General features: G+C 42.4%; 1 protein-coding gene across 3 annotated transcripts in view, besides 2 other annotated features; it reads left to right on the top strand.

The window, feature by feature from the left end:
• Positions 1-13,549, top strand: part of OPCML (opioid binding protein/cell adhesion molecule like) — a 1,117,521-nt gene that overhangs the window by 119,111 nt on the left and 984,861 nt on the right. The gene's annotated exons all lie outside the window — the stretch shown is intronic.
• Positions 2,847-2,976: a silencer, noted in NCBI's record as "silent region_4086". NCBI's record gives its function as "represses an Ori minimal core promoter by ATAC-STARR-seq in GM12878 lymphoblastoid cells {active_cell/tissue: GM12878}" and the evidence as "EXISTENCE:reporter gene assay evidence [ECO:0000049][PMID:35858748]".
• Positions 9,243-9,537: an enhancer, noted in NCBI's record as "tiled region #13397; HepG2 Activating non-DNase unmatched - State 13:Ctcf, and K562 Activating DNase matched - State 12:CtcfO". NCBI's record gives its function as "activates a minimal TATA promoter and a strong SV40 promoter by Sharpr-MPRA in HepG2 and K562 cells {active_cell/tissue: HepG2 | K562}" and the evidence as "EXISTENCE:reporter gene assay evidence [ECO:0000049][PMID:27701403]".

Here is a 13,549-nt window from a genome sequence, read left to right as displayed (position 1 = left end):
TAACTCGTCATCTAGCATTAGGTACATCTCCCAATGCTATCCCTCCCCCTCCCCCCTACCCCACAACAGGCCCCAGAGTGTGATATTCCCCTTCCTGTGTCCATGTGATCTCATTGTTCAATTCCCACCTATGAGTGAGAATATGCTAATTTTAACAACTCCTACCCCTCGGTCTCCCGGCTTCTCCAAAGTCTCCAGAGCCCCTACAACATCTGATCAGTTCTGCAGAATGCTCCATGCTCTCTCATTTCCCCTGTGATCACTGCCCTCCACATCCCCACCATCCCCTTAAAACTTACAGTCCCGTGTCCTGGTCTTGCAGGCTCTGGCTTCCTGCAGAAGTTCTATGGGTCAGCTGCACTCATCAACCTGTGTGATGGTGCTTCTCATTTGGGCCTTGATTTCACAGAAATGTAAGTCCTCCCAAAGAAGACTTGTGGATTCTTCAGGGTGAAGGAAGATATTTTAAGCATCTAAGGGAGATATTTTCTGTGAAAAACAGTCTTTTCACAATCTTCAATTTGGTCAAATTTGCTAATTTTAGAATAGTGTGTCCTGTACATAACAGTCACTCAAAAAAGAGACTTCTCAGACTCTCTCTTCCCCTTCCAGGCACACTTTCTTGGCTACTTGATTCCAATCTCATTTACCACTTTCCTTTTCAAAATCAGGGCTAAAGCAGTGACAAACTACAAACAACAGACTACAGTGGAAAAGTTTATTGGCGTGTATGAAGAGAGGATAGGGGCATACGTGTACTATTTTTCATCTGTATCAGCTGAGTTGGTGGTAATGCGACAAGTTCTCATTCATAGAAAATACATCTCAAAAAACCCCTCAGATGGTAGGGTTCTACTCTCTGATGAATAGCTATCATGAGGTTGATGATGAGGACTAAGGTGCTGTTGGATATCCATCTGCATCCACCTCTAAAGTGCTCTGCACCCAGGAAACTGACCTTTGTGAACCGTGCCCATGCCACATGCTCTCTGACCCTCTGGTTTCCAGTTGGTTTGACCCATAGACATCAGTGACAGACATTTAGAGGGAGAAGGTGAGGTCTGGGTATTGATTCTCTTGTTCCCCTAGTCTGGCCTCACTGTGGGACAGCTGTGCTCCTCAATTAAAGATCACAGCCCCTCCTAGGTGGGCCTCTCCAATTGTTCTTTTCAGGTCACTGTTCTCATGATTATTCCTACTTCAGGCCTAGTATGATGAAAGTGCTTTGGAGTTACTAGTTCCAGAGACTGCATTCATCACACCTTGGGATTTGCTTGTATTCTGCCCTTGCTTTTGCAGAGTGTTGCATTCTCCTCAAATTAGACCGTTTGAATGTGCCACGTGTTTCCTCTTGGAACTCTGATTACCACCATGGTAAATGGATAGACAGATCTGGAGGGGGTGGCAAATAAGTAGCTGCCTCCATGACATTCAGGGCAAGAGGTGATAAATGTTTCCTGATTGTCAACGTGTGGGGGGAAGCCACTTCCCTTCCCTAATTTTTATCTTACATGCAAATCCATGATGTTCAGTCAAAGACAATAAACAGAAAAACTTTCTCATGAAGTGGAGGAAGGCTCTTAGGTGATCTTCCACCACAAGCAGCTTAGCTGCATAGAAAAACCTGGGACTCGGAGGTTTCGAGCTACACCCTGGGCTTCACTGGCTGAGCCTGGCACTTGCTCATTGATAAATGGGATGAGGATATTTGGCCACCCCTCCTCTCATGTGTGTTGTGAGAGGAACATGGAATAATGCCTGGGAGCACTTGAAGCTGCAGCTGAGAAAGCCATGAAGACTGCTTCTAAGACTGTGAGGTGACAGGACCCAGAATTGAGGAACTGTGTGAGGGCCACTGTAAATGAGCTTGCCCCAGAGTTAGGGCTGGCCAGGCCTGGGACTGCATTTCTTCCCAAGGGTTCCTTTCCCATGACCTCTGGCCTGACCTTCCTCCCTGGGCCTGGCCCTCTTCTGTTAGGGGAAGGCATTTCAGAGCCACGCTGGCATGCTTGATCATGTTTTCAAAGGAAAGGAGGAGTGGGTGTGAATATTGCTCCAAAAACTCAGATGTGGAAAAAGTGTGACATCCACTTAAGAAAAATTAAATCGTATTAAATCCAAGTTTAAGCCTGTACCCCCCTGAGCTCTCTCATGTGTACTTCCCAGTGGGTACCACCGAGGCACCCATTATTCATGCCCTCTTTAGTCCTTGAAGTTGAGGGACCCTATTGGTTCCATGTGAACTGGGGGAACTGAAGTCTTTGTCTAGGTCCCAGCATCACCTTGACCTCCCTGGTCTTCATTTGTTGTTCCTCTAATATCTGTCTAATTCCTCAGGGTCCTGTGAGGGGACACATGCCAGCCACAGGTCTAACCAAGGGAGATCAAAATGCGAAGATGCTTGAGGAAGCAATGGGAGGTATTGGGTAACTTTTGGGCACCATGCCTGATTTTTCAGTCTAGGTCATTGGAATGGGTGGTCCCATGGTCTCTAAGAGTTAAATGAGGCTCTTCTCAGTTACCTTTTCACAGGCCCAAGAAAGCCTTTCTCTTGCAGCAGAAGGAGAAGAATCAGAATGTACAACATGTCGTCAAGTGATGCCGTTCTGCTTTAGAGGTTTATTTTAAATATATTTCTTTAAAGCCCATTTTGGAGACTTGCTACTGCTTGCTTTGTCTCCCAGCAACGTCAAAAGAGCTGATGGGAAAGAGAGGTCTTTTTTTTTTTTTTTTTTTTTTTTTTTTTTTTTTTTTTTACTTTTTTTCTTAACGTGTGCTTTCACTCAAAGAAAAAAAAAAGCAACAAAAACCCCACAACTTCTAAACCAGTTCCTGAAATAGACCCAGAGAGAAAAGGAAACCATAGCATGCTATGCAGCCTTTCTCGAGGGAGCAATTATAACCTAGAGAAAAAGACTCAGCTAGTGCATGGCTCCTGGAAACGGGGCTGAGTGCAAAGGCATCTTCCCCTCCTGCCTCCCAACAACCACAGATGTAGTCATAGCCAGAGCTGGGTTCACCCAAAAATAAGTGTACCAAGACCTTATGGAGATGGGAGTATTAGGGTCGTCAGATGAATTTGGACAACCATCAGCCCAGGCCACTTGGAGATAGGAGTGGAATCTTGATGCCAACCAACACCTATTTTTCTAACATTCACCCTATAAAGCACTGACAGTCTATGCTGCAAGCACTGTGCTGGGCGCTGGTGGGGTAGCTGGAAATATAACCAGTGCTCCAGTGTCAGCTGTCACCACTCACTTATATGCCGTAGCTATGCCCTAGTCACATGAGGCTCCTCCAGCTTTCAGAGCTCAATTGCCCTCATTTGATCCTTCAGGCTTTGCATATGTTGTCCTGTCAATCAGCTTCTTCCTGACTGCCTTCTTCACCTTCTAGCACGTCCTTCCTCTGCTTGTTCCCTGACCCACCTCTGCAGATAGCTATGTGACCCGCCTGTGTGTTCTCAGAGCAGCAGTGCTTCTCCTTATGAAGAGACTGCATCACACAATATGGAGTATTCTGTTTGTCTCTCTCCCCGACTGGACTGCAGGATCCATAAGAACAAAGATGTTCTTCATTTCTTTACCTGTGTTCTGTGGTACCTAGCATGGTGCATAGTGCTTAGGAGGTGATTATCACTTGATTACTGTTTGATTAAGAAGTTAACTCCAGAAATGAAATTTCTTATTCTGAATAGGTTATGGAGACATCAGACCTACTAGTATCTATGAGACTTTGGTCCAAATCTCAGTTTCATCAGCTATGAATTGGGAATAGTCACAGCTGTTACGGTTGGTAGAAAACTCTCTGGATAAAATGTATATAAGACCCCTGGCATCTGGAACAGAGCAGGAGCTCAGCGGTAGTGATTAGAGCTAGTGTAAAAGAACATTTGTCGATGATGCTTAAATTCCCACTGGGAGACTAGATGCTTTTAGCTTCCATTTATGGAGTAAATATTCTCATTGGCAATACTAGCCTTTTTACACCTCACCTTAAAGCTTTTTCTAAATTTTCCTCTAACCACATTATTACTTCCTCTGTCAAGTTTTCTAAACTCACCACTTAGCTGCCAGAGAGCCCTGGAGTGAGAATTGGGAACAGTACTTTGGTGACGTAAGTTCACAGCTCAGGCTCTGGAGTCGCGCTGTCTGAAGATGAGTTCTGGCAAGCTGTCATCTTTCTCTGTGCCCCAGTTTCCTCATCTGCGAAGTGGGTATCATGACGCGTTGGTTGGTTCCTCTGGGGAGAGATGCCTGCTCTAGAGGGTTACCACCTCCTTCCTTCCACAGCCCACGCTCGTCCCCCTCACAGCTGCCTGTTCTTTGCTCAGGAATGCACGAGGGACTGCTTCTGTCTTCCAGGTGTCCAGAGACACCCAGGAAGTCTGGCATCTAAGTTTAGTGAAAACCAAGGCATCAGCAGAGGATGGACAATGGCTGGCAGAGATATAACAGAGCTTATTCAATTGTAAGAGAGACGATTGAACTAAAGTGTCTAATCCCCAGACTCTATTATTACAGCAGGTCTTTGAATCGCATTGTCTCATTCCATGTCTTTTCATTATAACAATGATGAGAAAAAGATTGCTTCCTGGAAGGGCCACTGTCTGTGTGGTGTTTGCACATTCTCCTGGTGTTGGTGGGGTTTTCTCAGGGTCTTTTGGTTTCCTCCCACATCCTACAGCTGTGCATATTAGGTGGATAGGCATGTGTACAAGGCCCCAGTCTGAGTGAGTGTGGGGGTGAGTGTGAGCAGCCCTGCCTCTGGGTGGTGTCGTGTCCAGGACTGACTCCCACCTGGCGCCCTGAGCTGCTGGGAGATGCTCCAGCCACCTGTGACCCTGAACTAGAATAACTGGGTTGGAAAATGAATGAATGTATACAAATTACTGTCAAATAAAATGTTGTAAAGTCTAAAGTAATCATCCAAATGCATGACAATAAACCATGAGGTATGAAAGTGCTCAGCAAGCCCGCCATCTTTCTAATAGTTTGTTTTAGAACTTGGTGGTAGTAGGAGATGCCCTAACAATTTTCACTGCAGAAACGTTTATTCCTTGATTTAATTCACCACCATTGTGACCACTGTCACTCACTGATTCACCAAAGACTGGGTAAATATTATCTTACTGTTTTTATTAATCTTTCTTAAATGTATATGCTCACACGCATCTCAAAGTTTAATAGTAGAACTGTTTTGGATCTTTATTTGGAAGTTTGGTGATTTTTTTTTTGTGACCAGCAACATGCGGTTGAAATTTACCTCTTATTTATATCATTTAGCCTATGGTAAAATTGGTTTTGTTATACATCGTTTCACTTAAAGTCACGGCTTTCAAGAACCTATTGATGATGTTAAGAGAGGGCTTACTGCACATTCTAGGACGGCAAATTGCTAAGCAAACAGTGGATGTACAGCTCCCAGAAGTGCGGCCCAGAATAACATGACTTCAGATGTAGGGGAGAGCTTGGAGTTTATCTAGTCCAGTGGTTCTTAGCTGAGGGTGATTTAGAATTACCAGGGACCTGACTCCCTTGAGAATCCTGGTGCAGGAGGTCTGGGGAAAGGATAAAGCATGGGTATTTTTAAAAATGCATCAGGCAATTCTGTCAGATACTTTCTGACCTAGTCCACTCTCCTCCTCTCTGACCACAGTCTCTGACCTGTCAGCCTCCTTTCTCTAGGGAGCAATTATAACCCAGAGAAAAATAAGCTGAAAGCAGGAGACTTCCAGAAACATGTCTGGGCACAGGTGCCACCCACGTGTGGGTTTGCATTGGGTGGCAACCCATCTTTTGCAGCAGGGAGCTCACCAGCTGTGAATTCTTCTGCTTGATGGTAGTGGAGTGGATGTGGATCCCATCTCTCCACCCTGCTGGGGAGACTGGAAGGGAGCAGCCTTCTAGAAACTCCACCACTGCATGCCGGGATAAGTTTCCATAATGAAGCTCTCTCAAGCACAAAATGTGCATCTAATGGAATGCCATTTATCAGGGCAGCAATTCACATGTACGCACAAAACCTTTACTTTATTGCTTTATATCATGAATTACAACTATATCTAAAGATTGAAGACTCTAGTTAACCCTCTAATCCTAACTCCAGGGATTAATATTGGGCATTAATTCTAACTCTGTCTTCTGATACTAATTCTAGCTGTTGATTCCTTGAGTGCTAATAGGAAATGCCAGAATTTATTCTATGGATTATTCTCAGTTTTAGCCCCATCATTCCAAGACATGTTTGGATTATTTTGAAGTGGTCATGTGGATGGGTTTAACCTCAGACCTAGAGGGGAGAAATATACTGCTTAGCAGTTCAAAGGCGAATAAAGGTTGGCAAGATTAATCACAGTGTGGATTCTGTACTATTTCAAAACTGAATAGGAGGTTTGGGAAATTGTGGCTGGAAAACCAGACTTTCCAGGTTGTCTTCCATCAAGTGATCACTGATGTATTTATTTCTCTGATTAATGAACTTTGCAAATTAACCTCCACACTACTCTGTAATTGCGATTAAGGTTTCAAAAAATCACTTAAGCGTGTGTTTCCACCACTCCTGAGTCCATTCCAGCCGGATGGCCTGCTCACTGTGCTGATTTCACAAAGATAGTGCCAGTCCCCTGACCTCTGAATTTACAATTATTGCATTCAGCACCCAAATTACCCCCAGTCTCCATGTGCCTGGCTTTATCTCTCTGCACACACAGGCCTGGCTTTTAATTAAAGGCCCTCAAATTAAATGAAAACAAATTCAATTATTACATCTCATTGGAGCAGCTCACAGCATATCCTGACAGCATTTATCCAATGGGCAACCCAGGGAAAGCTCGGCTCCTACAACTTAAGTTAATGTGCCCAGTAAATGATTTTTCTTATCATTGCTTGAACAGACTTTTTGCCACTGGGTCAGCCCTAGCTGTGGTCTTTGCTGTCTCTGAAAAAAACTACAGCTTAACACAGTTTCTCTTTTCTCTATCTTTTCTGGTCTCTGCCTGGTTCTTATTCTCCCTTTCTGCATGGAAGGAGAATGGTCTCATGGTCTGTTCCCACTGAGGATGGAAGATAATTACCCTCCAATCTCTGCAGGTTTGGAGGTGCAGCTCAGATATGCACCCCTTAAATTTAGATCCTTATCCAAAGCTCTTAGGGCTATCCAGGGGACTGTGTGTATGTTCTTGACTCTCCAAGCTGCCCGAAGTTTAGAGAAATGTGCACTGAATTGCGATTATTGTTATGATAGATCATAACAATAATCATAATAATAGTATGTTTATTGAGGACTGTAATGTGCTAGGCAGTGCAAACAGCATGCAATTAGACACAGTCCGTACCCAGTGGACCGACTGATTACACAAGTGGAAGCAAGGCAAGACCCAGACAAAAGGAGCAATAGAAACAAACTGAAGGGAGAGCTGGGAAGGGAGAAAACAATTTCTTTTTTGATAAGTGGCCAGCGGAGGTCATGCCTCTACCTTGCCTGGACTGCACTTTCTGCCAAGTTTTGTTTTGAGTATGAAACTCTTTAACTAAGTGGCAGATTGGGCCTAGATTTGGAGGGCTTGTAAGAAGAAGAGCATTAGGTTCAGAGGCAGGAAACAATCACTGCTTCAGGGATGGGCATAATCTGATCAGGAAGGCTCAGAAGATTTTTTGTAGAAGGGTACATATCAGATGCTGTTGTCCCTGTCAGTGGCCCAAGGCAGGAATATGGGAAGCCTCAAAGCTCTGCTTCCCCCAGCGCTAGAGCCAGATCACGCAAAAGAAACAACACAGTTCAGGAGAGAGGCTGAAGGAAGAGCTCAGCAGATTTGCATGAAGACAGGGAATCCCTGGGTCTTCTATCCGAGGGTATCCTTTTTCTGATGGTGGCTGGATTTGTGTCCCTTGTTGAAAAGGAAGACCCAAATGCAGATGGCAACAGAAATTAAACATACAGATCACAAAAACTCCCAAATCTACTTGTAACCCATTCAGCAGGGAAAAGCAAAGCAGGAGAAAGAAGTGTGGGCATTCGAGAAGGAGCTGCAATTCCAAATCTGTGGCCGCAAGACACAGTCTGCCTGGCATTTTATGTGCCCCCAGATTCAGCCCAGACGCCCTGTCAAAATGAGTTTGCTGGAGAACTCTGGCAGAGGGGACACTGTGAGCTTCTGCTCAACGCCCACAGGTCTCCCTAGGTTCTCCTGGGGGTGGTGACCAGCCAGGGGAGCCAAGGATTTGGGGGACAACAAGGTTTGCTCTATCATTTTTACATCCTTGCTTGAGCAAGCGTCCTTAATAATCCCTTTTACTGAGTGTCCTATGTATAGGGAGAACTGTAAAAGCCTGTTTTGAATGAATACAAAAGAAACGGAAGATCTCAAGGTATTTATAATCTAATTTGGAGGGTGGAAAATACACAGACATAATGAAACTCTAAAATGTCAAGTTCCATTTTCCTGCTATGATTCCCATAATTTCTACATATGTTTATGATACGTTTTAAGACATTGCATTGATATTATCTGTTTGTATTTTATTATTCTGCTCTAGACTAAACTTCATCAAAGCAGGGCCTGTGCCTTTGTTTTTATTTTTTAAATTGTGTATCTTCAAAAATTAGTACTGCCTCTGGTATCTGGCAATATTTGTTTACCTTTGAATTGAATAAAATAAAAGCCTAATTCTAATGTCCCTAGCTAAAGCTGCATCAGCCTCCTCTGGTCTCCCGTGATACTTGGTTTATGCTTCTCTTATCGTTACTACTCAATCGACCTCTTCTCTACAAGCTCTAAGAGGCAGTGTGGCGTAGTGGTTAAGAGGCTGGCTATGTAACCTTGGGAAAGTTGCTTTATCTCTTTAGCCTTCCCTGTCTGTGGAATGAGTAGGAGGATAATTTGCTTACTTTTTGGGATTGTCATGAGGATTAGACGGATAACACATGAGGTGGAGGCATGCCTGGCACACGGTGTTATGTAAAGGGCACCTTTTCCCATTATCACCATCCTGAAGAGTTCTAGCATAGGTTGAATTGTGTCACACAAAAAGATAGGTACAAGTTCTACTCCTCGCGCCTGCGAATGTGACCTTATTTGGAAATAAAATCTTGGGAGAGGTAATCAAGTTAAGATGAGACCATACCTTATTAGGGAGGACCCTTATCCAGTGGCCAGTTTTCTTACATGAAGAGGGAAATGTGGACACAAAGGTACACTTAGAGGAGAGGATGTGAAGACACAGCCAATACAGGGAGGGCGTCGTGTGAAGACTGAGGCCGGATTGGAGCCATGTGTCTGCAAGCCACCAGAAGCACAGAGCAGAGCCGCAGAGCACAGGTTCTCCCTCCGGGCCTCTAGGGGGAGCCAACTCTGCAAACAACTGGGCTTCGAACTTCCAGCCTCCAGAACTGTGAGAGAATAAATGTCTATGGTTCAAAGCAACACTACTTATGGTAATTTGCAGACTAAGTTTTATCTTTTGTGTATACATCTAACACAACACCTAGGAGAGTGCTTGGAAGGTAGTAGATCTTGGCCAACATACACTTGTTGAATTGGATGGATTCAGCCATGAGATCATTAATGTGAATACACAATTATAAAATAGTTTTCATGGAAGTAGAATTTGTCTGTTCTATGTACCACCTATTTGAAATTAAATAAAAGGACATATTTATCCAATTCAACTTGCCAATTTCCTTTCAATTTTGATATAACATGTAATTGGTACGATAACATTGTATATCAAATTACCCTGAACAATGCAGTAAATGGAAAGGAGGTCGCCATAAAAGGGTAATCTCCTAAGAGGTTACCATGAGACAGAGTAACCTGCCTTTGGTTCATTCTGTCCAATTTAGCCTACTCCCTCAGCTGATCCCTTCCCAAGACCCTGGAGTTCCTTAAATAATATTTGATAACTCAAAGTAGAAAAAAATTAAACTAAGCAAACAAATCAAGGTATGGTATGTATATATTTATATAGGATTGTGTTGGTCTTGAACAGACGTTTACTCATAAACATTTATCAAATGGCCTGTTGTGTACCAAGTACTATACTAGGAAGGGGATGCAATGGTAAATAAGACAATGAGTAAGATCAATGAGTAACATTTTATGAAGTCTTTGTTATGTGCCAGTCAATATATTAAGTATACTATTTTATTTGACCCTTACAATAATTGAGTTAGGTAAGTCCATGTCACTAATGATAAGACAGGCTTAGTGAGATTTACACATTGCCTAAGGTCACACAGTAAGTGGTAGAGACCCAGATTTGTACTTAAGTAATCTAATTCCAGAGCTCTTTAATCACTGCACAAAAATTTGGCATCTCTTATCCTCATAGAGCCTAGAGTGTAGTGGTAAAGAAGGCAAGCCAGCAATTGCCATATAGTCACAGAAAGAACATGGTTAAGAAGACTTCCAGTAGGAATCCTAATTTAAGATTTTCCTGGATTCATATTCCAGACCAGTTTGGGCAGAAGTTAGAGGAGAAAATCAGCACTTGGGCTGATTTATCATTACATCTCCTACCTTGGTTTGGCCTTGGCGACTTGGGTCCAGTGGCTTAGAGGTGCTTTCATGGCTTAGAGTTTCTGCAGATGCGGGCAGGGCAGAAACCATACGGTCAGTCTAGTCAGCAGTTTTCAGTTATGAGTCAAAGAAGGAGCAGAAGCCTGAGCTGTGTGGGGACAACCTCTTCCAGCTCATCCTAGGTTCTGGCTGCTTTCTGTCTTGGTCTGGCCATATTGTTCGACCCAGGAGATTGGGTACTTTTATAACTCCAGGAAAGGTACATGTTTATGATAAATGGGAAAATATTTCTTGGTCCTTTCAAAGAGATGCTGATCCAAGGTGAGAAACTGTGTGATTATGAGAGACTGATCATCCTGATCATCTATATGGTACAGCTAGCTGCCTTGCTTCTCTAGATTTCTCTAGAAATCTAGGTTGTTAAAATCCTTGTAATGCACTGTGCTATGGCTTGAATGTCTTCCCCAAAGTTTATGTTTTGGAAACTAAATCCCCGATGCAACAATGTTGAGAGGTAGGACCTTTAAGAGTTGACTTGGTCATGATGGCCCTGCCTTCATGAATGAACTCATATTGTTATCTTGGGTGGGCTTGTTATTGCCAGAAGGGTTTTTTTTTATAAAATCAGGTTCAGGAAACTCTTGCTTTCACTATCCCCCACCCTGTGATGCCTTCCAGCATGGGACAATGCAGACAGAAGACCCTCACCAAATGCATGCCCCCAACCTTGGACTTCCAGCCTCCAGGATAGTTAGAAATAAATATCTGTTCTTTATAAATTACCCAGCCCCAGATATTCTGTTGCAGCAGCACAAAATGGACTAAGATACACTGTCTAAGAAATCTTTTTATATCTTCATGGAGACTATGCAGTTTGACTTGCTCGCGGCCCAGTTGATTTTCAAGATTGACAATCAGCACTAACTCTATTATAGAATTTGCCTGGCTGCTGCACTGAGAACTCACTGCTGTGAGTATTGTCTCCAGCTTCAGTGGACTTCCCAGAGGTTGCCTTTGAAAATTTTACACTCAACCATTTCCCCACTCACTGAAAGCTTAAAAGAGAACAAGTCTAAAAGAGAATGGTTATTTTTAGTAGGAAGTTAGTTGTGAGATTTTGAGTGGGAGAGTCAGCCTCAGAGAAACTAGACATCTTCTCAGCTATTCTTGAGTCCTTTTTTGTCTTGTTTTGTTTTGTTTGGAGTGAATTTCCCAAACCTCTGTCATATTAAAACCAATCCCATCAATATCCCATTTGCAACTTATGTAAAGAATATTATTAATAATAATATCAATATCAACATAGCATTTAGAAATAGAAGATGTGGTATGAGACCCAGCTCTGCCACTTTCAGACTGCAGCTCTAGGAAAAATGCAAACCCTCAATGCCTCAGTTTCCTCCATTATAAAAGGAAAATTATAATAATAATATTAGTTCATTTCACAGGCCTTTTAGAAAAGTCAAATGAGATAATGCATGCAAGAGTGTTTTGCAAATTGTAAAATATTGTACAAAGCTTTGTTATTTTTACAGAAAATACATATGGATTTTCTGCCCTTTTGAATTATTCATTTTCTATCTCTTTATAGTGGTCTGAATAATTGGATATTTGATTCTTATCTTACTTTCTTGGAACTCTGTATATTTCACATCAATTATTTCATTTTACTCTCACACTACGTCTGTCTTACCTACAAAGAGCAGAGTGTGATTGAGTTGTCTAATATTTAAAATAAGTTGGACTCCAACTTTTGGTCCTCTTGGTATTTATTTTTCAGTGACTTTTCTGCTCTAAACTTGGGGAAATTGCTGCTATGTAGACTCGGATTATTACTTGGAGAAAACTAAACTTATGAGATAACCTTTTCTCCATATTCTGACGCTTGTTAACAGGAAAGCCATTGGGTGGTAGCAGGAAAAGGGTTGCAGTGTCCCACAAGGGCACTGGTTTATTTTTTCTTTGATTGCATGGCATTTTTGGAGCATAGGACTAGCTAGCATACAGGTCCAGCAGCTTTCTCAGGAACCTACTACCTTAGGATCCCAACTTGAGTCATGGCATCTGAAACCAGGTACCCTGAGCTAGGCTGTATCATGATCCAGAGGCCATATCACTTAAGAGGAAGAGCATTGAACAGAGAATTGGAGACTGCTCCTAGCTGGATTGTTTGGCTTGAGAATATCACTTCCCTTTAGAATATTGCCTATCTACATTTACATTTTTTAATTTTAAATTTATTATTGTGGTAACATAACATAAAGTTTGCCATTTTAGCTCAGTGGCATTAAGAAAATTCTCATTGTACAACCATTATCACCATCTACCTCCAGAACTGCAAAGCGTTGTTTTTAGAGTACAAATGAAATCATTTCTGGGAAAGCTCTTAGAAGAGCATAACACACCATAGGAATGCAAAATATTGTCCTGACTCTTATTGCCCAATAATTTAGCGGAAGGAGCAAAGAGCACCTTAAAAGGGTTGCTTAACTTATAAGTGCTTTGAGGAGGCTGAGTAAACTATCTCCCTGAAATAATTCAAATTAGTGGGGATGCCCGTTGGTCAGGATCAAGTGGACACGATTTATTGCTAAGGGAAAGTTGTGGATTACCTGTAACATTTGAAGTTGTGTCCAACTTGAACATTCTACAAATTTGCATCAATAACTTCCTCACTTGAGGCTAAATTAGAAGACATTATTTCCCTCCTGCTGGGCATTTGGAACTTCTGGGTCGGAAAAGCTGAAGCAGTAATGGGCAGGAGCCCAAGCTGCCTAATGAATAGGTCTAAAAATAGTTGAGAGAATGAATTCTAAAGTGCAGAGTTGTGATGTTCTTATGGAAGACAGGTGGCCCTCTTACTTTAACCAAACCAAGTTTTCCACCCTAAGTTCACTGGAAGGTTAGTCTAGCTTGCCGAATACAATATGCAACAGACGTGTGCATGCATTAGTAGATAGATGCATAAAAGCAATTCATTCATATATATTTTATATATATATAATATATATATATATGCTTCCTTAA

Source organism: Homo sapiens, chromosome 11 (genome assembly GCF_000001405.40).
Source record: "Homo sapiens chromosome 11, GRCh38.p14 Primary Assembly".
In the NCBI taxonomy this organism is placed as follows: Eukaryota; Metazoa; Chordata; class Mammalia; order Primates; family Hominidae; genus Homo; species Homo sapiens.
Note: the sequence above shows the minus strand (reverse complement) of the source record. Positions and strands in the feature narration are given on the sequence as shown.